General features: G+C 43.8%; 1 protein-coding gene across 2 annotated transcripts in view, besides 3 other annotated features; it reads left to right on the forward strand.

Moving 5' to 3' along the window:
• Positions 12,442 to 12,501: an enhancer, noted in NCBI's record as "active region_20441". NCBI's record gives its function as "activates an Ori minimal core promoter by ATAC-STARR-seq in GM12878 lymphoblastoid cells {active_cell/tissue: GM12878}" and the evidence as "EXISTENCE:reporter gene assay evidence [ECO:0000049][PMID:35858748]".
• CHCHD6 (coiled-coil-helix-coiled-coil-helix domain containing 6) overlaps positions 12,862 to 22,441 on the forward strand; it is a 256,181-nt gene continuing 246,601 nt past the window's right edge. For both annotated transcript variants that reach the window (NM_001320610.2, NM_032343.3), the window contains exon 1: positions 12,862 to 13,021. In NM_001320610.2, coding sequence (NP_001307539.1) covers positions 12,935 to 13,021 — 87 coding nt within the window. In that variant the 5' untranslated portion in view covers positions 12,862 to 12,934. The remainder of the gene's footprint in view (positions 13,022 to 22,441) is intronic.
• Positions 13,052 to 13,251: a silencer, noted in NCBI's record as "silent region_14680". NCBI's record gives its function as "represses an Ori minimal core promoter by ATAC-STARR-seq in GM12878 lymphoblastoid cells {active_cell/tissue: GM12878}" and the evidence as "EXISTENCE:reporter gene assay evidence [ECO:0000049][PMID:35858748]".
• Positions 13,562 to 14,113: an enhancer, noted in NCBI's record as "H3K4me1 hESC enhancer chr3:126423783-126424334 (GRCh37/hg19 assembly coordinates)". NCBI's record gives its function as "activates a minimal SCP1, AML or CMV promoter by ChIP-STARR-seq in primed H9 embryonic stem cells {active_cell/tissue: H9 hESC(primed)}" and the evidence as "EXISTENCE:reporter gene assay evidence [ECO:0000049][PMID:30033119]".

Here is a 22,441-nt window from a genome sequence, read left to right on the forward strand (position 1 = left end):
CAAAATCAGAGCAGAGCTAAATGAAATTGAAACAAAAAAAATACAAAAGATAAATGAAACAAAAATCTGGTTCTTTGAAAAGAAAATTAAAATTGATAGACCATTAGTACGATTAACCAAGAAAAGAAGAGAGAAAATTCAAATAACCTCACTAAGAAACAAAACAGGACATATTACAACTGACACCACAGAAATACAAAAGATCAGTCACGGCTACTATGAACACCTTTATGTGCATAAACTGGAAAACCTAGAGGAGATGGATAAATTCCTGGAAAGATACAACCCTCCTAGCTTAAATCAGGAAGAATTAGATACTCTGAACAGACCAATAACAAGCAGTGGGAGTGACATTTCAACACGAGATTTGGAGGAGACAAATATCCAAACTATATCAGTGTTGTATTACATATCGCAGAACAAAATCTATTAATCTGCCACCATGATATGGTAAAAATATATATTAGGTCTTTGTCCCCAGTTCCTGGAACAGAGTTCCTTAAACGCTTGGGATTTCCTAAGTGATAGGAACATCTTTTGTTATTCATAAGGAGCCCCTTTGGGACTCACTGGAGTATACCTTAATGAGGTGACTCAGAGTGGTGTCTCTAGACAGCTTCAGGATGGGGGCCGGTCACCAGAAAGACCAAACACATGATTAGAAGGTAAGAACTTTTATCTTATCCCCTGACTTTTATTCTATTCCAGGGAGGGGATAAAATGGGGCTGGAGATTGAGCTCAATAAAAACTCTTGAACGACAAGGTTCAGAGAGTCCCTGAGTTGGTGAACACATCCACATGCCATCCACCCGGACCCGGTAGGGACAGAGGCTCCTGCATTTGGACCCTTCCAGACCTCAAATTACATACTTCTTCATCTGGCTGTTCAATGGTGTCCTTGATAAGAAACCGTAACAGTGAGTAGAGCACTTTCCTGAGTTTTGTTGGTTGTTCCAGTGATTATCAAACCTGAGGGGGGTGGTGGGAATCACTGAACTGGTTGTCAGCCTTGGCACCCCATTTGTGGCCAGCATCTGAAGTGGGGGGCAGTCTTGTGTGATTGAGCCCTTAACCTGTGGGGCCTGCACTGACTCCAGGAGTTGGTATCAGAACTGGACTGATCTCTAGGATACCTATCTGATGTCAGAGAATTGGAGAACTTGGTGGTATGGGGGAAATGATATGTATTTGGTGTCAGAGATGATATCAGAAAACACCACTGCCACTTTTAACCAAAACCTCCTTTCCCAGATTTTCTCTCCCCACACAGTTTCTGTCTCTTCTCCTTCCTTCACTCTAAGCCCCACTCCTCCAATACACTGCTCTTCCTCTACTCACTCCTCACGCACACTTTAGAAAATCCATCCAGCTTGCAACCAATTCAACAGAAGCCTCAGTGGCTAGCCTGAACTGTCTCAAGAGGACAAACACCCCCAGATCCAGCTGTTCTTCTTCTTCAGGTCTGAGGGTGGTGGGAACAAGGGGCTCAAGTCAACCCCATCCTACAGCTGAGGCACCTGAGGTTCAGAAAGGAAAAGAATTGCAGAAAGCCAGGAGATGCTCTGCACAACCACTAGGACCTGCTCCTTCAGCCACTCCTCTCCAGTGGCCCTGGGAACCGACCTTCCAGGGAGCTCCTCCTGCCTACACGTGAGCATCCTCCCTTCCCATCAAGGCTCCATTTCTCACCAGCAGTTTGCAAACTTTAGCCTAGAGGGAGCCATTATTGTTAGGGAAGTAGGAGCCTAGGAGAGCCAGAGTAATGCCATTTTAAGTTCAGCTCCATCTTGACTAACAAGACACATTCCTTGCCAGTCATGACCCGTGGTCCGAAGATGCTTATGGTTGAGGAAACAGCCTAAAGATTCCCGTAAGGACACTCCTACAACAATGGAGAGTCTAGTTATCCCCATACCCGTAACCATGTATGCTTTCTAGTTAATAACACCTATGCTTTGATGGACGCACACACTGAAATGTCAAGGAGAGTTTTCTTTAAATCAACTTTGTCATGCTGTCTGCTCACCCTCATGTAGTCACAGTTTAGTTTAGTCTTTGTATAGACAAGACCCCTATCTAAGAAAAACATAAAACAAGACTGTGCGTTCCTCCGCTTGCTTTCTAAGGATGCCGTGCTCTGTAATGGAGTAGCTTTCAATGAACTTGCTTCCTTCACTGAACTTTGAGACTTGCCTTAAATTCCTTCCTGCACGAGATCCAAGAATCCTCTCTTGGGATCTGGATCAAGACCCCTTTTTCTGGTAACGTTATCGGTGCACAGTGAAATGAAAAATATAAGGAGAAGTGAAGAGCAGCACAAAGAATTTGCCTTCTAAGTTAAATGCATGCCAGCTTCGCTGAAAGACCTTTAGCACCCAGGAAACACCTCCCTAAGGCAGAAGATGCATGGACTATAGTTATTGTACAGCAAAAGACATGTATATGCCATCATCAAGACACAGCTGCTCACGAAATAAACTGTGGTTTAGCTTTTCTGTGCTCTTTCAGTGTGAGGAATGTCTTGGTTATTATCAACATATTTTTCTTACAGGGACCTTCTCAGAAAACAATAAGATATCAGTGAGTTGTTTTCATCAGTTGTGCGTGATGTTATTAATGCTTACGAGTTGGTTTCCTCTTTCTTTCTTCCTTCCTACCGAGGGAAGACAGCACCTCTCAGCCTTGCAGTTGGGTGGGGCCATGTGGCCAGCACTGGCCAGGGGAATGTAGAGGGAAATGCTGGGTCACCCAGGCTGGGAAAGCTGGCACTCAAAGCTGTAGTCTGGGAGGCTCACTCTACCCTGCTGAACTGCCCTTGGAAGCCACATGTTCCATGCAGCACAGTTCAAGCACAGCAGAGCCTCTGTTAGCCAGGATTGCCCAGCCCCCTCCATCCACATTTTGCCTGAGTGAGAAATAAAACATGATGGTGTCAAATCCCAAAAATATTTTATACCTTCCCCCCAGCACCCTTAAGAGCTAGGGCCATGCTCTGTTGTCCAGGCTGGAGCACAGTGGCGCAATCATAACTACTGAAGCCTTCTTCCACCTCAGCCTCTCGATAGCTGGGACTACAGGTGTGAAGCCACCATGCCTGGCTAATATTTTAATTTTTTAAATGTTATTTTAGATTCAGGAGGTACACGGGCAGATTTGTTAAAAGAGTATACTGCATGATGCTGAGGTTTGGGCTTCTCTTGATACCGTCACCCAGATAATGAACATGGTCCCTATAAGGAGTTTTCCAGTCCTTGTCCCTTTTTGGAGTCCCCAGTGTCTATTGTTCCCATCTTTATGTCCTTGTGTACCTGATGTTTAGCTCCCACTTATAAGTGAGAATATGTAATATTTGGTTTTCTCTTTCTGCATTAATTTGCTAAGGATAACAGCCTCCAGCTGCATCCATGTTGCTGCAAAGGGCATGATTTCATTCTTTTTTTATGGCTGTGTAGTATTCCATGGTGTTTATGTTCCACATTTTCTTTATCTAATCTGCTGTTGATGGGCACCTGGGTTGATTCCATGTATTTGCTACTGTGACTAATGCTGCGATAAACATACACATGCAAGTGTCTTTTTGGTAGAACAATTTATATTCCTTTCGGTATATACCCAATAATGGGAATGCTGGGTCAAATGGTATTTCTATTTTTAGTTCTTTGAGGAATCTCCAAACTGCTCTCCACAGGGGCTGAACTAATTTACATTTACACTTGCAGAGTGTAAGAATTCCCTTTTCTCCACAACCTCCCCAACATCTGTTCTTTTCTAAAATAGTAGCCATTTTGACTGGTGTGAGATGGTATCTCACTGTGGCTTTGATTTGCATTTCTCTGATAGTTATGTTGAACGTTTTTTCATATACTTGTTGGCTGCATGTGTGTCTTTTGAGAAGTGTCTGTTCATATCCTTTGCCTACTTTTTAATGGGGTTATTTTTTTCTTGTTGATTTGTTTAAGTTCCTTACAGATTCTGGATATCAGTCCTTTGCTGAATGCATAATTTGCAAACATTTTCTTCCATTCTGTAGGTTGTCTGTTTACTCCGTTGATAGTTTCTTTTGCTGTGCAGAAGCTCTTTAATTAGGTCCCAATTGTTAATTTGTTTTTGTTGCATTTGCTTTTGAGGATTTAGTCATAAATTCTTTGCCTAGGCTGATGTCCAGAAGAGTATTTTCTAGATTTTCTTCTAGGATTTTGATAGTTCGAGGTCTTACATTTAAGTTTTTAATCCATTTTTAGTTAATTTTTGTATGTGGTTGAGAGGTAGGGGTCCAGTTTCATTCTTCTGCATACAGTTCTCCCAGTTTCACAGCAGTTTCCCCAGCACTATTTATTTACTAGAGAGTCCTTTCCCCACTGTTAATTTTTGTTGATTTTGTTGAAGATAAGCTGGTTGTAAGTGTGCAGTTTTATTTCAGAGTTATCTATTCTGTTCTATTTGTCTATGTGTCTTTTTAATTTTTAAATTTTCTTTTGTAGAGATGGGGTCTTGCTATGTTGCCCAGGTTGGTATTGACAAAATGCATAGATACTAAGTATACAGCTTGAAGAGTATTGATAAATGTAGACACCATAGCCACTACCCTAATCAGAATAGGGAATATTTTCATCCCTCACAAACATCCCTTAAGTCATTTTCCTATCAATTTCTGTCCCCCTGCCCAGGCAACAGTGTTTTGCAGTTTTCAGGGAACAAATCTTGTAGTTCTTTGGTTAAATGTTTTTGAAGCTATTGTAAGGGGGGTTTTCCTAATTTCATTTTTTAATTGCTCACTGCTAGTGCATAACATAGAACTGATTTTTGTATCTCATACACTCAACCTTGCTCAACTTGCTTATTAGCACTACTAAAATGTGTGTGTGTGTGTGTATGTGTGTGTGTGAATCTCTTAAGGATTTTCTACATACAAGATCATATCATCTGCAAATAGAGATAGTTTTACCTCTTCCATTTCAATCTGGAAGACTTTTATTTCATTTTCTTGTCTAACTGCTCTGGCTAGAACCTCCAGTACAATATTGAATAGAAGTGGAGAAGGCAGACACTCCTGTTTCTGATGTTGCGAGGAAAGCTCCTTATTGGCTTTTTCTTTTTTTGAGACAGAGTCTCGCTCTGTCACCCAGGCTGGAGTGCAGTAGTGTGATCTTGGCTCATTGCAACCTCTGCCTCCCGGGTTAAAGAAATTCTCCTGTCTCAGCCTCCTGGGACTACAGGCATGCACCGCCATGCCCGGCTAATTTTTGTATTTTTAGTAGAGATGGAGTTTTGCCATGTTGGCCAGGCTAGTCTCGAACTCCTGACCTCAAGTGATTCGCCCACCTCGGCCTCCCAAAGTGCTGAGATTTCAGGCATGAGCCACCACACCTGGCTCCCTTTTGGCTTTTAACATGGACAAAGCAAATTACTTTTCTACTCCACCAGCCCTTCTCTTCTTGTTTGCTTCTGAAGAACCCACTTTAAGACAAGGCACCTCACAGAACTCCCCGCTCCAGTACACCCTCCGTATTGGTTGCCAAAGTATTTGTTCCAAAAACAAAGTCTTTGAATAACAACAGCTGTTGCTGAATGAGATCCCTTAGTACCAAGCTCTCTGGACAAATACTCCAGGTAATGTTGGCAGCATTCTCACATCCTTCAGAAAACAGAGGCGCAGAGATATTCCACGAATTGCTTGAGGGGCCAGTCTAGAAAAAGGCAGAGCTCAGCCTTGTGCCCCATCCCACATAAGTACTGTGCTGTTCTGCTCAAGAGCTGGGTCACATGGTCACTTCCTGCTTTGAGGAAAGCTTTTTTTTCCTCCTCTTTTTTGTTCTGAAAATTTTCAAATGCATAGAAACAGTGAAAGAATAATATAGTGAACTCTAAGATATATGTCACCTACAGTCACCTAATGTTAACATTTCTCTTTCACACCATTTGAGTGTAAGTTGTAAACATTATGGTACTCCACTCCTAAATATTTCAACATGCATATCCCAAGAACAAGATGAACATTAATTCCACGGTATCATCTAAGACACTATCCCATGTATAAAGCATTCCCAAAAAGCCTGAGTATCTTTTGATAGCTTTGCTGTTGTTGTGTTAGTTCAGGATCCAATTAGGATTCACTGCTGCATTTCAGTGCTATGCTTCCTTCATCTCTTTTTAAAATTTTTATTATTTTGTTATTTTATTTTATTTTTTAGAGACAGGGTCTCACTCTGTCACCCAGCCTGGAGTGCAGTGGTCTAATCACGGCTCACTGCAGCCTTGACTTCCCGGGCTAAAGCACTCCTCCCACCTCAGCCTTCTGAGTAGCTGGGACTACAGGTACACACCACCACACCCGGCTAATTAAAAAAAAAATTTTTTTTTTTTTAGAGATGAGATCTTGCTATGTTGCCCAGGCTAGTCTCGAACTCCTGGCCTCAAGTGATCCTGCCACCTCGGCCTCCAGAAGTTTTGGGATTACAGGTGTGAGCCACTTCACCTGGCCTCCTTCGTCTTTTTTAAGCTACCTTTTTTTTTTTGTTTTATTTCCTATGACATTGACCTTTTGGAAGAGTCCAGGCCAGTTGTTTCCTAGGATGTTCCTGGATTTGTCTGACTGTGTCCTCACCATTAGATTCAGGTTACACTTTTGACAAGAATACTGCACTGGAGATGTTTTGTGTTCCTCATTGTATCACTTGGGGAGGGACATTGTGCCAGATGGTCCCACTATTTGAGATGCTAAATTTGGTCATTTGGTTAAGGTAGTGACTGCCAGATGTCATCATTGTAATATGGTTTTCCCTTTGTAATGAATAAATCTGTCGTTGGGTGGAAGGGAAGGTGTTGTGACAGGTCCACTCATGGCTGCCTAGCACCCGGTCCCCCCTTCCCTGCAACAGAACCCCAATTTCCTTTGGGGCAGAAAAAATTCAGCACAGATGTCTTGGTGGCCCTCTGAATACTCAGTGGCTGTCAGGCCCTGTGGCCAGGCATGATGGCTCATGCCTGTGATCCCAACACTTTGGGAGGCCAAGGTAGTCCCAGCACATTGGGTGAATAGCCTGTCCCCCAACAATTTTTCCACTCAATGGCTTTAGTATCCTTTGATGATTTTTGCCTCAGTTAATCCTCTGAAGGTGGCAAAGTGGCAATTTAAAAAAATCTCAAATGCCCGCTGTACTGGTTAGCTGGCATTTTTGTGTAAAGAAGAATTTCCTTACCCTCTTTCCTATTCTCTCTGTTGCTGTCTCCCTCTCTTCCTCCCTCTCACTAGAATAGGCTAATGGATTTAAATCAATTAAATGTGCTATAAGCCATTACTCTTTCTATTCTTCTTGATGTTCAAATTGTCCTGCATTTGGCCACTGGGAGCCTAGGAGGCAATTTTTTCTAATTGGGCACATGCCTGCACCTCAGGAAATTGGGGTTCTGTTGTAGGGAAGGGGAAACTGGGTGCCAGGTAGCCATGAGCAGACCCGTCACAACACCTTCCCTCCCCAGAGCCTCAGTTTTTTGGGCCTTAGAACAGGGTAATAAAACTCCTGGCACAAGGAACTTACTCAAAAAGCTCTGCTTCCCTCCCCCTCCTTTCCTTCACGTCCCTTGCCACTGCCTTTATCCTCCTCCTACTTTGGATCAATAATGTTGCATTATCTTCACCTGCTTGCTCCTCGGTTTTCTCATCTGTGAAGTGGAGATAAAGAATATACTGGGTTGTCATGAGGCTTACCTATGCTGCTGTAAGTCTGTGGAATTTCAAGACTCCCCAAGGATTCTTCACAGTGGGAGTGAGGCCACACAGAGTCTCATGGTCACCCTTGGCTCTCACTCGTTTTGCTAAATTAGCTCAGCACAGATGTCTTGGTGGCCCTCTGAATACTCGGTGGCTGTCCGGCCCCATGGCCAGATGCGGTGACTCACCCCTGTAATCCCAGCACTTTGGGACGCCAAGGTGGGAGGGTTGCTTGAGCCCAGGAGTTCAACACCAGCCTGGGCTGGGCAACATAGCGAGATCCAGTCTCTATTTTATATATATATATGCCAGGTGTGGTGGCATGCACCTATAGTCTTGAGAGGCAGGAGGATTCCTTGAACCCAGGAGGTCAAAGCTGCTGTGAGCTCTTTTCATGCCACTGCACTCCAGCCTGGGCAACAGAGTGAGCCCATGTCTCAAAAAAATTTTTTTTAATTGACAAAGATTATATATATTTAAAGTATAAAATGTGATGGTTTGATATACATATACATTGTGTAATGCTTATCACAATGAAATTAACACATCATTCACCATCCATGCTGTGCATTCGATCCTCAGAACTTGTTCATCTTTTTTTTTTTTTTTTTTTGATTTGGAGTCTCGCTCAGTCACCAGGGCTGGAGTGCAGTGGTGAGGTCCTGCTCACTGGAACCTCCACCTCCCAAGTTCAAGCGATTCTTCTGCTCAGCCTTCCAAGTAATTGGGATTACAGGCATGTGCCACCATGCCCGGCTAATTATTTTTTGTATTTTTAGTAGAGATGGGGTTTCACCATGTTGGTCAGGCTGATCTCAAACCCCTGACCTCAAATGATCTGCCTGCCTCAGTCTCTCAAAGTGCTGGGATTACAGGCGTGAGCCACTGTGCCTGGCCAGAACTTGTTCATCTTATAACTAAAGTTTGTACCCTTTGACCATTTCCCCATGCCCCCACTTCCTAATCCCTGGTAACCAATGTTCTATTCTGCTTCTATGAGTTCAACTTTTTTAGATTCCACATATAAGTGAGATCATACAGTATTTGTCTTTCTGTGCCTGGCTTATTTCACTTAGCAAAATGTCCTCCAGGTTCGTCCATGTTGTCACAAATGGCAGGATTTCCTTTTTTATGGCTGGATAAAACACGCGTGTGTGTGTGTGTGTGTATGTATATATATGTGTGTGTAAAACATTTTATCTGCTCATCTGTTGATGGACACAGGTTGTTTCCATATTTTGGGTATTTTGAATAATACTACAATGGACATGGGGGAGCAGATATATTTTCAAGATTTCATTTCCTTTAGATATATACTGTTAAAGGAAAAACTTGAGACTGATTAAAGAGTTTGAGAAAAGGACAAGTTACAAATCAGGGAGCCCCCCAAATCAGAATAGCTTCAAAGAGACTTCAGTGCTGCCAGTGGGGTTGGAGAGGATTTAGGGACAGGAAAAGGAAAATGACATAAATAAAATGGAAGTGAAATACAGAAATAGCCAGATTGGTTACAGCTGGGTTACAGACTTATTTGAACACCGAACAGTTGGCCACCTGTGAGTAGTATGTCTTCTGATTGGCTGAGACTTGGCTACTTGTTATAAGAGTAGGTTACAGTCTGTTTACACATCCAGTTAGATTACAGTTCACTATGTATGGATCAACCTTTAGGCTGAACTTACAAGGAAGCAGCTTTAGGCTAAAGTTAACTATACAGAAATAGGATTATTAGATTGTATTGACTTTTGGGGGAGTTGCCATACTCTCTCCCATAATGGCTCTACAAATTTATATTCCCACCAGCAGTGTGCAGGGTTCTCTTTTCTCTACATCCTCACCAACACTTCTCTTGTCTTTATTACAATACTGATTCTCACAGGTGTAAGGTGATATCTCACCATGGTTTTAATTTGCATTTCTCTGATGATTAGTGGTGTTGAGCGCTCTTCATATGCCTGTTAGCTATTCACATGTCTTCTTCAGAAAAATGTCTATTCAAGTCCTTTGCCCATTTTTAAATTGGGTATTTATTTTTGCTATTGAGTTGTGTGAGTTCCTTATAGAGTATATTTGGATATTAAGCACTTATCAGATATATGGTGCCCAAATATTTTCTCCCAGTCTGTAGGTTGCCTTTTCAGTTTGCTGCTTGTTTCCTCTTATGTGGAGAAGCTTTTTTAGTTTGATGTCATACCATTCGTTTATTTTTACTTTTGTTGTTTGTGCTTTTGGTGTTATAGCCAAAAAAATTATCATCAAGACCAATGATAAGAAGCTTTCCACCTATGTTTTCTTCTAGGAGTTTTGGGGTTTCAGATCTCACATTTAAGTCTTCAATTCATTTTGAATGGATTTTTTATGTGGTGTAATACAAGGGTCCAATTTCCTTCTTTTGAATGTGGATATCCCGTATTTCCAGCTCCAATTATTGAAGAGACTTTCCTTTCTCCATAGTGTGTATATTCTCGGCACCATTATCAAACATTAGTAGACCATATATGCATGGGCTCTCTATTTTTCTGCATTGATCTATGTATCTATTTTTATGCCAGTACCATACTCTTTTGATTACTACAGCTTTGTAATATAGTTTGAAATCAGGGAGTATGATGCCTTCAGCTTTCTGCTTCTTTCTCAAGATTGCTTTGATGATTTGGGGTCTTTTGTGGTTCCATATGAAATGTTAGAATTGTTTTTTCTATTTATGTGAAAAATGTCATTAGAATTTTGATAATGATGACATTGAATGTGTAGATTACTTTGGGTAGTAAAGCCATTTTAACAATATTAATTCTTCTGATCTATAAACACAGGCTATCTTTCTACTTATTTATGTCTCCTATAGTATCTTTCAACAGTGTCTTATAATTTTTAGTGTGCAATTTTTTGTGTGCATCTTTCTTTCACCTCCTTGGTTAAATTTATTCATATTTTATTCTTTTTGGTGTTATTGTAAGTGGGATCATTTTCTTAATTTCTTTTTGAATAGTTTGTTGTCAGAAATCAGTAATAGGAAGAACTTTGGAAAATTCACACATGTGCGGAAATTAAACAACACATTCCTGAACAGCCAATGAGCCAAAGAATAAATCAAAAGGGGAATAAACAAGTATCTTGAGACAAATGAAAATGGAAACACAAGGTACCACAACTTATAGGATGCAATAGAAACATTTTTAAGAGGGAAGTTTATAGCGAAAAATACCTACATTAAGAAAAAAGAAAGACATCAAACAACCTAATTTTATATCTCAAGGAACTAGAAGAGGAACAAACTAAGCCCCAAAGTCAGCAGACTGAAGGAAATAAAAAAGATGAGAGCAGAAATAGAAACTAGAAAAACAACAGAAAAGATCAACAGTAAAGATCAACAAAATTAACAAACCTTAGCTAGACTAACCAAGAAAAAAGGTAATTCACATAAACAAAAGTATAAATGAAAGAGGAGACATTACAACTGATATCACAGAAATACAAAAGATCATAATCAACTACTATGAACAATTATACACCAAGAAACTGGATAATTTAGGAGAAATGGACGAATTCCCAGAAACATACCATCTATCCAAACTGAGTCTTGAAGAAACAGAAAATCTGAACAGACCAATAACGAGTAAGGAGATTGAATTAGTAATCATAAACCTCCAAGGAAAAGAGACAAAGGAAAGCCCAGGACCAGGTCTGACCACATCTTTACTCAGTTTTCCCCGCGGCCCCCGGTCCCCACCCCTCTTAGCCTGTCTCCCTAACTTCCTTTCTCCTGAGGTGCTCCCCCAGGAAACTCCTTGCACCAGAATCCCCTACGCAGGCTCTGCTTATAGGGAAGAAATGGACGACAGAGGTGATGGAGTGGGGTGCGCCAATGAAGTATTTTGAATGAAACTAGCAGACACCTTTGTTCCTAAAGATTCCATCGTCACACCAGCTCTGGGATGTTTACTAGCTTCTTCACCCTGAGCTATTCTCAATCTCAGAGCCTTACTGCTCTCTCTCAATCATTCTCTCCTCCTCACCCCTTTCTTTCCAGGTTGCCAATAGGAGCTCCAAATATTTTCTGGCTATTTCATGTAGCCATCTAGTTTTCCTCAGCTCGGCTTCAGGCGCACTTTTGCAAATCAAAGCCATTCAGCAACTCAGAGGAACAAAAAGGGGCTTATTTGAAGGTAGCAGTGTCTATGACTGGCAACCGTCTGTGTGCTCCCTTACACATAGGGTCCTGTGTAAGAAGCCTACACACAATGCCTGGCACACTGCACTCCACACATGGTATGTACACTCCTTGGGCAATGCCTCCTAACGGCTTAGGACCATTCCCTGTCCTCCCGGGGCGTTTAGAATAAAACCCACACTCAGACCCTGCCTCACAAGACCCGACATGATTTGGGTCCTCACCACTCCTCTGCCCTCTTCTCACTTTCCAGCCATGGGATGACCCCTCTTTCTCTTTTCCTGCCTGAGACTCCCAGGAAACCTCTTCCCCTACCTTTTTCTACATAAATCCTACTCTCCCGCCGGCTCAGTTCAAAGCTTCTTCCTCAGAGGTTGCTCTGGCCACTGAAATTAAAAGAGGCCTCCTTCTGTTCATTTTACTAGTGGCATCGCCATGCAGTTTTCCGTGTATTACAGTCAGTTTCCTTGCGTGCGTGTTTGGCTTTTCACTTGTTTTCCCCTTGCACTGTAAACCTCTCAAGGGCAGGACACTCGCTGTCTTGAGGGGCGCTGTAATGCCAGGGCCAGGTCCCTGCTCGTCTGGCGCTCAGCCCGTGCTGCTCTACACGTGTTTGCTGAATGAATGGAGCAGTGAACCCTCAGAAATTCGCCTCCAGATGAGCGCCTTGGCCGTCTCGGCGTCTCCTGGCCTCAGAACATCACCCTTGGCTCTCCCTCAAGGGGGAGCTCCCAAAGCGAGAACGTGACCCTGTCCTGCACCCAGCCCTCCACTCCAGGGCCTCCGCCGGTACACATCTTCGGCCTCAGCCTAACGCACTCTAGCAGGCACAGACCGCCACGCCCCCACCCCTCCAGACGGAAGGACTGCAATCCCCACAAGGCACCGCGACTCAGCGCCACCCGATTGGTGAAGCCTCTGGCGTCGGCCAATAGGACGTGGCTTTGTTGGCGTGTGCCGCGGCCGCGCGAGTCCTGGAAAGCGTTGTTGGCCCGGTTGCTCTGGAGCCGGGTCTCGGGTCTGGTGGCTGCCGGCCCTGCGGCATCTCGCCATGGGGAGCACGGAGAGCAGCGAGGGCCGCAGGGTGTCCTTCGGAGTGGACGAGGAGGAGCGGGTCCGGGTGCTGCAGGGTGTCCGGGTGAGCGGCGCCGCCTGGGCCGGGGCGGGCGTGGAGGCCGCGGGCGCGGGGGGGAGGTGCGGGGCGGAGCGCAGGGCCGGGGCTCTTTCCACGCGTGAGGGGCGTGGGGCTTGGGAGACTCCGGGGGCTCAGGCCAGGAAGAGGCTGAGCCGAGACGCGAGCCCGAGGCTGGCAGCCTTGGAGCTTCGCGACATGGGCTTCAGGGAAGGAGGAGTGAAGAACTGTACAGGTGCGAGGCCCCTGGGACACGAGGGACGCCCTGGCCACGTCCTGGCTCCGGTCGGCTTAGTTTTTACGTTTCTTGAATTTGCGCCCGGCCTCCCAGCCCGTGGCCCCTCAGGTGCGCGCATCTCGTTCTGGGTACGCGGTGTCTCCCACCTGGGCTTTGCCTGGGGACTCAGCTCTTCCCCGCCGGCCTGTTCTCCACAGCACATCTGCGGGGCGCAGGAAGAACCATAGCTCAGATCTGATCCCCTTCCTTGCCTGAAACCCTCCAGTGGGTTCCTAGCGCGCTTGGATGATGCCTTCCCTGGTTCCAAAGCTGGCCGCTGCCCGTCGACCTCTGGGGACTGCATCCCTCTGGGACTGCATCTCGTGCCATTTCCCTCGCGTGGCACCCGCACCTCGTCCCCAGCCTCAGGACCGCCGTGTTTTCCTGGAGGGTGCCGCTGGCTCAGCTCAGGGTCTGTGCGCCGGCTGTTCTCTCTCCTTCAGCTCTCCTTAAATCCCGCTGTTTCTTGTAATTCTTGTTGTAATTCAGATATCACCAGAGAATCCTTCCCTGACCACCCAATCTGAAGTAACCTCCCACCCCGCGTCCAACATTTATTATTTTCATAGCACTCATCACAGTGATCGCTTCTGTTGATAATTGTTTACTTGTTTATTGCGTTTACTGCTAGAGTGTAAGCTTTTTGAGGCTAAGGTTCCTGTCTGATTGAAGACTGTCCCCAGAACCCAGAAGAATAAAAGCAGCTCTTATTGCAGTGTAGGGGCCATGCGTTGGACTAAACCCTTTATAAGTTAACTGATTTAATTTTCAACAGCCCTATTTAGCCCATTATTGTAGATTAAGGAGAAGTGAGGCACTGAGAGGTGAACGAACTGATCCAAGATCATGTAAATAGTAAGTGGGAGAGCTGGGATTGAAACAAGCCAATTCCAGGGCATGTTGCTGTGCTCGGCCTCTTCCTCCACCTGTGTCTACACCTGCAGGTGCTTTGTAAGTAACTGTGGAGAGATGAATGAACCCAGTAAAAGGGACTAGGATTAAATGAAACGCACAGAGCTGGGTGTAGATGAATTAGTTAATTAAGGAGGAATTAGGGAGGTGGCTTAGAAAGACAGACTTCAGGAGTTCTGGCAGGTGCTCATTAGCTGTGTGACCTTGGGTAAAAAACTCTTTTGAGCCTCAATGGCCACATTAAAAAAAAAATTGGGTGTGTATGTATCCTAGGTACTGCCTAGGATAAGATGATGTCTGTGAAAGTGTTAAGGAAACGCACAGAGAGAGTGCTTTGTGGAGGCCTCTCTTCTTAGCCTAGCAGAGTACTTGGCACATTTGGTGCTTGCTAGGCGTTGTATAGTTTTGTGGACCTCACTCGTGGCAAGGATTAAATGGGGGAGGAGATGGCTTGTGTTGGAAGGCCGAGAGGGAGGAACCTGAATTGGAATTTAGAAAGATAAGCTTGGCTCTGTTTGGGTGCTCTCACCCTTGTGATTTGGTCTCCTGTTTTGGGGAATGTTGGAAAGTTAAGTTGGAGTCCTCAGAGGTTCAGGGGAGTGCCTTTGGGGGTGCCTTCTTTCAAGTTGATTGGAAACCTCATGTTTTTTGAGTATTATATAAGACAGGTACATTTCATTTCTAGTTCTCTTAAATACTTCTGCAACATATAAATTCTCTGTATTTAAAGATGGAGAATTGAGCTTAAAGGAGTTAAGGAATTTGCCCAAGGTGTTAACCTGAGTAACTTCTGGGACTTTAATTAAGATCTTTTCGGTGCAAAAAGCAACTTTTTCTCACTTCTGCAATTCCCCCCCATGATGTATGCAAGGCAGCCTGAAAATTTTGTGACAATACCCATACCTGTCCTGACAGGGATGATAGTGCCCCACTTAGTTTTAAAACTGGAAGGAACTTTGGTGACTGACTGCTTTCTTTTCCAGCTGGGCAAACTAATCAGAGAGGATAAATGACTTGTCCAGAGGTGCACAGTAAGGTGCACAGCCCCACGTTATGAGAGCCACGTCCTTCCTTCTGCTTGTGTTTGAAAGAGGAAAACTGAAGAAAGGAGGTGATGGTATGAAGAAAGGATGTTTTGGTGTAGAGGCTTTTTCTGTTAGCAGAGTTACTTGAGGGTTGAGGAATTCACCTTGTCTTTAGGCAAGTGAGTGAAAAAGATTGCCAGATCAACAAAACAGTTGCCAAAGGGAACAAATCAGTTCATTTAATGAGAAGCAGATGCCAAAGAAGATCTGCCCCAGCTTCTTTAGAGCAAGTTGAATATTCTTAATGACCATTTGTATTTAATTCCTGAGGCCTGGTCTTAGAAAGTGTTCTCGTCCCTGTAAGATTAAGTGTTAGTGGCTGGTAGTGGTGGCTCATGCCTGTAATTTCAGCACTTTGGGAGGCCGAAGTGGGCAGATCACCTGAGGTCAGGAGTTAAAGACCAGTCTGGCCAACATGGTGAAACCCTGCCTCTACCAAAAATACAAAAGTTAGCTGGGCATGGTGGCACACACCTGTACACCCAGCTACTTGGGAGGCTGAGGTAGGAGAATCCTTGAACCCAGGAGGGGGAGGTTGCAGTGAGCCGAGATTATGCCAGTGTCCTCCAGCCTGGGTGACAGAGACTCCGTCTTAAAAAAAAAAAAAAAAAAGATTAAGTGCTAGGCCTTGCTAGTTTACATACTTAGTTTGCATAAATTCACAAAGTGTGTTCAAACCGTAATTCCATGGAAGGTAAAAGAAATTTAATGAATGCAAAATGCTGCAGTTATATTCAACTCCAGTTTTCAGAGCAAATGTGTGAAATACGTAAAGATTTTGTTTTAACCAGTACATTTAACCTCATCCTTCAGTAAGAGAAGGCACACATGGCAGTCATGGCGCATATGTGTCTGCCTTCCCTCTCCTCCTCTCCACATGAGCCGCCCTTTTTGGTGATTCAGCTGATGTTGGTTGCTTGTGAGCATCCAGACTGCTCACTGTTCACCAGCCTTTCCCCCTTTCCCACCACTGAGCCCACCCCTGTTCCAGTCACTTGCATGTTCCCAGAGTCATTATCCCCTCCAGGCTTGATCAACTTTACCGTCATGCATTGCTCCCATGAGGCTGATTCTGGACCACGGTGGAGGGGAAGATCAAGAAGAATGTGGTCAGACACACAAGAGAGTCCCCCATTGTGCCAGTGCCAGAGAGGCCGTGTGCCAGAGCGCTGCACCTGCAACTGCCAGTTATTCCTCACCTCAGTGAATGTCCACTGCCTTCATGTTACTTGCCCAGCACTGGGCCTGGCCTTGCTGAGACAATGAGGGACAAAGCCGAGGACCCTGTCATCATAGAGACCTCAGCCCAGTAGGGAGAATGGACCAGAAAGGAAGAGACACAGGCAAAAGACTCAAAGAGCTGCCAGAGCTAAGGAGGAAACAAAAAGGGTGCAAAAGCTACTGGGGCTGCCTGCTTGAGGTGGGATGGTCAGGCAGTGCCTCTCAGGAGGAGATGTTGACTGTGGCCTGAGCCAGCCCTATGAAGAGTGCATATTCACTCTGTGCTAAGCACTCTGCCAAGTGTATTCAGAGCATCACCCCAGAAATTCCACATGCTTACCTTGTGAGGGGTCATTATCCCCATCTCAGAAGTGAGGAAACAGGTTCAGTGAGGTGAAGTAACCCAAGGTCACAGTGCTGGAACCTCAGGGTCTCTGACTCCATAGCCCATGTGCTTGGCAGCCACAAGGAGGGTAGGATGCTTGAGGATGTGGCAGGTGGTGAGGCCAGACTCAGGGCCCAAATGCCAGGCAGGGCTGTGAACATGTTATTCTGGAGGCCACGCTGCAGTTCTCTGGTCAGGAGCAGAGCTTTGGAAAGGTTCTGTCTGGTGACACTGATTTTTCTTTAAAAACAAAAACCAACAGTTGTAAGCCAGGTGCAGTGGTATGTACCTGTAGTCCCAGCTACATGGGAGGCTGAGGCAGGAGGATCACCTGAGCCCAGTGGTTCGAGTCCAGTGTAGCAAGACCCCATCTCTTGAAAAAAAAAAAAAAAAAGCTTTATTGGGATGCATCATTTTACATATTATAAAATTCACCCATTTCAATGCTTTTTAGTAAACTGTGGTGACAGAATTGGACAACTGTCACCACAATCCAATTATAGAACATTTACAAGACCTAAAAAGATGCCTTGACCTGTTTGCAGTCACTCCCCATTCCCACTCCCAGTCCCAGGTAACCATTAATCCTGTTTCTCTATAAATTTACCTTCTCTGGACATTTCGTAGATAGTCCCCTCTTGGTCTTTCAATGACCTATCCATGGGTCGTTGGTTCCAGGACCCCCATGGATACCAAAATCCTTGGATGCTCAAGTCCCTAATGGAAAATGGTGTATTTGCATATATACTACACATATTCTCCTGTATACTTTAAATTATCTCCAGATTACTTATAATACCCAAACACTGTAAATTTTGTGTAAATAGTTGTTATACTGTATTTTTAAAGATTTGTATAATTTTTTTGGTATATTATCTTTTATTGTTTCTTTTTCTCAAATGTTTTCCTTTGGACCCATGGATACGGAGGACTGACTGTAAACGTAAATGATTAATGCATCTTTTATTTCTGGCTTCTTTCACTGAGCAAGTGTTTTTGATGTTGGTTCATTGATGTCGTAGTATATATCAGTAGTCCATCCTTTTTATTGCTGAATGGTATCCTGTTGTATGTATATACTGCATTTGGCTTATTCAGTCACCAGTTGAGGGCATTTGAATTTTTTCTACTTCTTGGTTATTGTGAGTAACGCTGCTATGAACATTTATGTATTTACAAGTTGTTTTTTTGCAGGCAAATGTTTTTAGTTCTCATGGATAGATACCTGAGAGTGGATTTGTTGGGTCATTCAGTTTATGAATTTTGTGAATTGTCAGGTTTAATTTTTAAAGAAACTGCTGAACTGTTTGCTGAAGAAGCTGTACCATTTGATATTTCCACCAGCAATACATGGGATTCCAATTTCTTCATATCTTCACCAACACTTGTTATTATCTTCGATTCTAGCAATTCTAGTGGCTGTGAAATTGTATCTCATCGTGGTTTGAATTTGCATTTCCCTAATAACTAATGATGTTGAGCGTCTCTTCATGTGCCTATCCTTATATTTTCTTTGGTGAAATGTGTATTCAGATCTTTTGCCAATTTTTAATTGGATTATTTGTCTTTTTATTGTTAAGCTATAAGATATCTTTGTGCATAGTAGGTGTGTGTAGGTTATATGCAAATACTATGCCATTTTATAAAAGGGACTTGAGCATCCTCAGATATTGGTGTCCACAGAGGTCCTGACACCAATCCTACATGGATACCAAAGGATGACTGTCCTCAATTCTGCCATTGTAGGGGAAAGCAGCCATAGACAATATGCTTAAGTGAGTGGTTTTGACTGTGTTCCAGTAAAACTTTATTTACAAAATCAATTGGTGGGTTAGATTTGGCTCAAGCACCAGAGTTTGCTGAACCCTGATCTAAATCGATGTTTGCTTCATGAGATCTTATTTCTCCAGGCTCTGTTGAAAAGATTATTCTTTCCCCATTGAATTATCTTGGAACCTTTGTGAAAATCCATTGCACATAAATTTAGGGTTTATTTCTGGACTCTCAGTTCTATTCCATTGATCTTTATGTCTGTCCTTATGCCAGTACCATGCTGTCATGCTGATTATTGTGGCTTTCTTTCAAAATTGGGACGTGTAAGGCCTCTAACTTTGTTATTTTTCAAGATTGTTTTATCTGTTCTGGGTCCTTTGCATTTCTGAATACGTTTTAGGATAAGTTTGTCAACTTCTGCAAAGAAGCTGACAGGGATTTTGATAGGATTTCTGTTGACTCTATAGATTACTTTAGGGAGAATTGCTATTTTAGCAACATGGAGTCTGCCAATTAGTATACACGAAATATCTCTTCATTCATTAGATCTTTCTTAAGTTTTCTGAGGAGTGTTTTTTACTTTCAGTGTACAAGTCTTGTACTTCTTAAATGTATTCCCAAGCATTTTATTATTTTTGATGCTATTGTGAATGGAGTTGTTTTCTTACTTTTATTTTTGGGCTCGTTGTTGCTAATGTATAGAAATATAGTTGGTTTCTGTATATTGACTTTGTATCTTGCAACCTCGTTAGGCTCATTTATTAGTTCAAGTAGGGTTTTTCTTGGGGTGGATTTCTTAGGCCTTTTTACAAGTAGGATCATGTTGTTTACAAATAAAGACTGACTTCTTTTCCAGTCTGGATGCCCTTCTTCTTTCCCTCTTGCTTTGGCTAGGATCTCCAGTACAATGCTAAATAGAAGCTGTGAATGTGAACGTCCTTGTCTTGTTCCTGAACTTAGGGTGAAAGCATTCAGTCTTCCATCATTAAGTGTGTTAGGTGTAGGGTTTTCGTAGATGCCCCTTATCAGATTGGTAACTTTATCTTTTAATAGTTACAGCCACTCCTTTCTCTCTGTCCTTATGTCCTTTTTTCCCTTTATAAGCTCTAAGAGGGCAAATCCTGGATTTTCATGATAGTGTCTGCTCATTAATATATACATGTTGGGTTACATGCTTGGATTAATGAATTGGCAGTCCTTCTCTAGCCAAGCTGGCGATCTTGTGGCAGCTGTGCATGAGAATCTTATTCTTCCAGGCTTTAACACAGACCTGTTCGGGATGTGTGCGGCAGACTTTGTTTTCCGCCATGTGGTTGCCTAGTGAAATGCTTCTGAGCTTGCCTCCTTGACTGTTTCAGTTTGAACATGGAAGTTCCTTATGATATGTTTTATATGATTACTTTTCCTGTTCTTTCTTTTGTTCTTGCTGGATGTTAAACTCTGTGCTTGGGATCCTGTTCACTCTAGAATGTCTGCTTTTTGGTTGCAGCATTCATCTTAGTTGACTCACTTAAAGGCAGTGTGGGAAACAGAAGATCCCAGACCTGGACTTATGCCCTGACACTTCAGAAGGATGTGTCTTTCTCCTTATGTGCAAGATAGAGATATGATGTAGCATCTCCATGCGCCCATTTAGCATAGACACCACGAAGGGGTTGCGTTATAGATCGTCTCTGGTCTTCCACAGCTGTAAAGCTCACCTGGCTGTTTGGATGAGTGCAGTTTGATGGAGCCCGCATCAGGAATTGCCAGCTTGGAAAGCCAGAAAACAGGCAGCCAACTTCTCTGCTGCTTTTCAATGAACAGTATCTGCTTCTGATTTCAAGTCCAACAAATGGTTCTTGAGTACACACTGTGTGCCGGTTTCTGGGCTAGCTGCTTTCACATGTGTTATTCTGTTTGATGCTCCTGAATCCATCACATGTTCTGACAAGTGCTGAGGCATTAGAAAACAAGGTAAAGCAAATTCTGCAGGGAAGCACAGTACTTTAGGTCTCTCTACCTTTTCCACCTCAGCTGCTGAGGAGTGGAGGCTCATCTTAAAGACAGGATGGTTGAAGGCCCAGACACCTGCATGTAGATTTCCCGCTGGTGCGTTCCATTTTTCTGCCTTGGTGGTTCTGAAACTCACTGTGTGTGAGAATGACAGCAGGGGACTGTCTACACAACCACACTGTACTTTAGGTGCAGAAGGAATCACTCTCAAGGGTTTAGTTGAATATCCTTTAAATTTTATCATAATATAGTACAGCGTAACCAGTAATACAATCTAAGTAGTACAAGAGTTAAAAGTTATTTCCACCTTCTGACTTCAGCATATGATCCTCATATATGATGAAATTCCATTACATTCCTCCTTTCTTGTATCACAGTACAATGTTGAAGGTCTCTGTATGTAAAAGATAAATCTATAAAATAATATAAATGTAAGGTTGTTAATTGTAACCCTTACTAGGCTCATCTCGGGCCAGTTCCCACATTTGGAAAGTAAACGTGCTGCACTGGAAGGCAGCCTTGATCCTCCCAGGCTTCAAGTGCTGCCTTTTCCCTCTATTGGAAGGGGTCGCTCCTGCTCTCCGCAGTGGCACTAGTGTCCAGCATCAACCACCGTCTCTGCCCTTCCTGTGTCTGGTAGGAGCTTCTGACCGTTTCTGAGCCTGCTATCCCTTCTGTGCCCTGTTCCTGGCCATTCTCTTTCATCCTCATTCATGCACCCATGACTTCTGGATTCTAAATATCCAACCCAGAGCTTTCTAAATGACCCTGCCAGCACCCCCGTGCATGTCCCATGGGTACATTTAATTGACTGTGTCCAAATGGGACTCACCCGCATTTCTTCTCTGCCCCCTTAGAGATGACCCTTGTCTCTTCTGTTGTGAGTAGCTCTACTATCCAGTCCTTCATCCGGAAAGCTGGCGGTCATCCACGTTCCTCTCTTTCTCTATATTCATGACAAGTCTTGAGCTTTACCTTACAGCAGTTTCTCCGTTTTGTTCTCTCCTCTTTGTCCTTCCTACTCTCAGTTCAGGCCTATACTATCTTCCCCTTGACCAGCTGACAAATTGTTCTTTATTAGCTTGCTTCCCACAAATCTATACTTTCTGGTGCTACCAGGCTATTTTTTTTAAAAAACGCAAATTTTACTTTTGAACAGGTTTCCAGGAGATGGTCATTAAATGCAGACAGTTAAAAAGGAGTTGCCCGGGGAAAAGCTTGTCTCCCTTCCACTGTGTTTTGTCAGTCCTGCTCCCAGAGGCAGCCCGTGACCAGCTTCTTGTGTCCCGGGGACTGTTCAGAGTTGAGGCTGATTGTGTCACATCCTTTCATGTCTCCCCCTTGCCTCTTGGTTAAAGGCATGTTTCCGGGCCTGGCTCACAAGGTCCTTCATGTGTGGGCGCCACTTTCTGCCTTCACTGCGCCTCCCTGCAGGGACACTTGATCCTGCGGGACCCTAAGCTGCTTCATGCATGTGTGCCTGTGATTCTCCTCCTTTGGCTGGCCAGGTGGAAGTGTTGCCTTCAGAAGGAGCCTTTGGTGGTGTCCCCTGCAGACTCTGTGGTCCCCTCCCAGGGCTTAGTGCCCTGGGCCAAAATGATCTATTCCACACTTACTTCCTTTCTGCCCCATGAACAGGGGCCACATCTTCTTCGTCTCTCTGTCCCCAGCACCTAAGCCAGAGCTTGGCACAAGTCAGTAAAATACTTGTTGGATAAAAGTTTAAGCCACTGGCTCAGTTTTTCTTGCCTCAAACTATGACTCCAGAAACTTAATGA

Source organism: Homo sapiens, chromosome 3 (assembly GCF_000001405.40).
Source record: "Homo sapiens chromosome 3, GRCh38.p14 Primary Assembly".
NCBI lineage: Eukaryota > Metazoa > Chordata > Mammalia > Primates > Hominidae > Homo > Homo sapiens.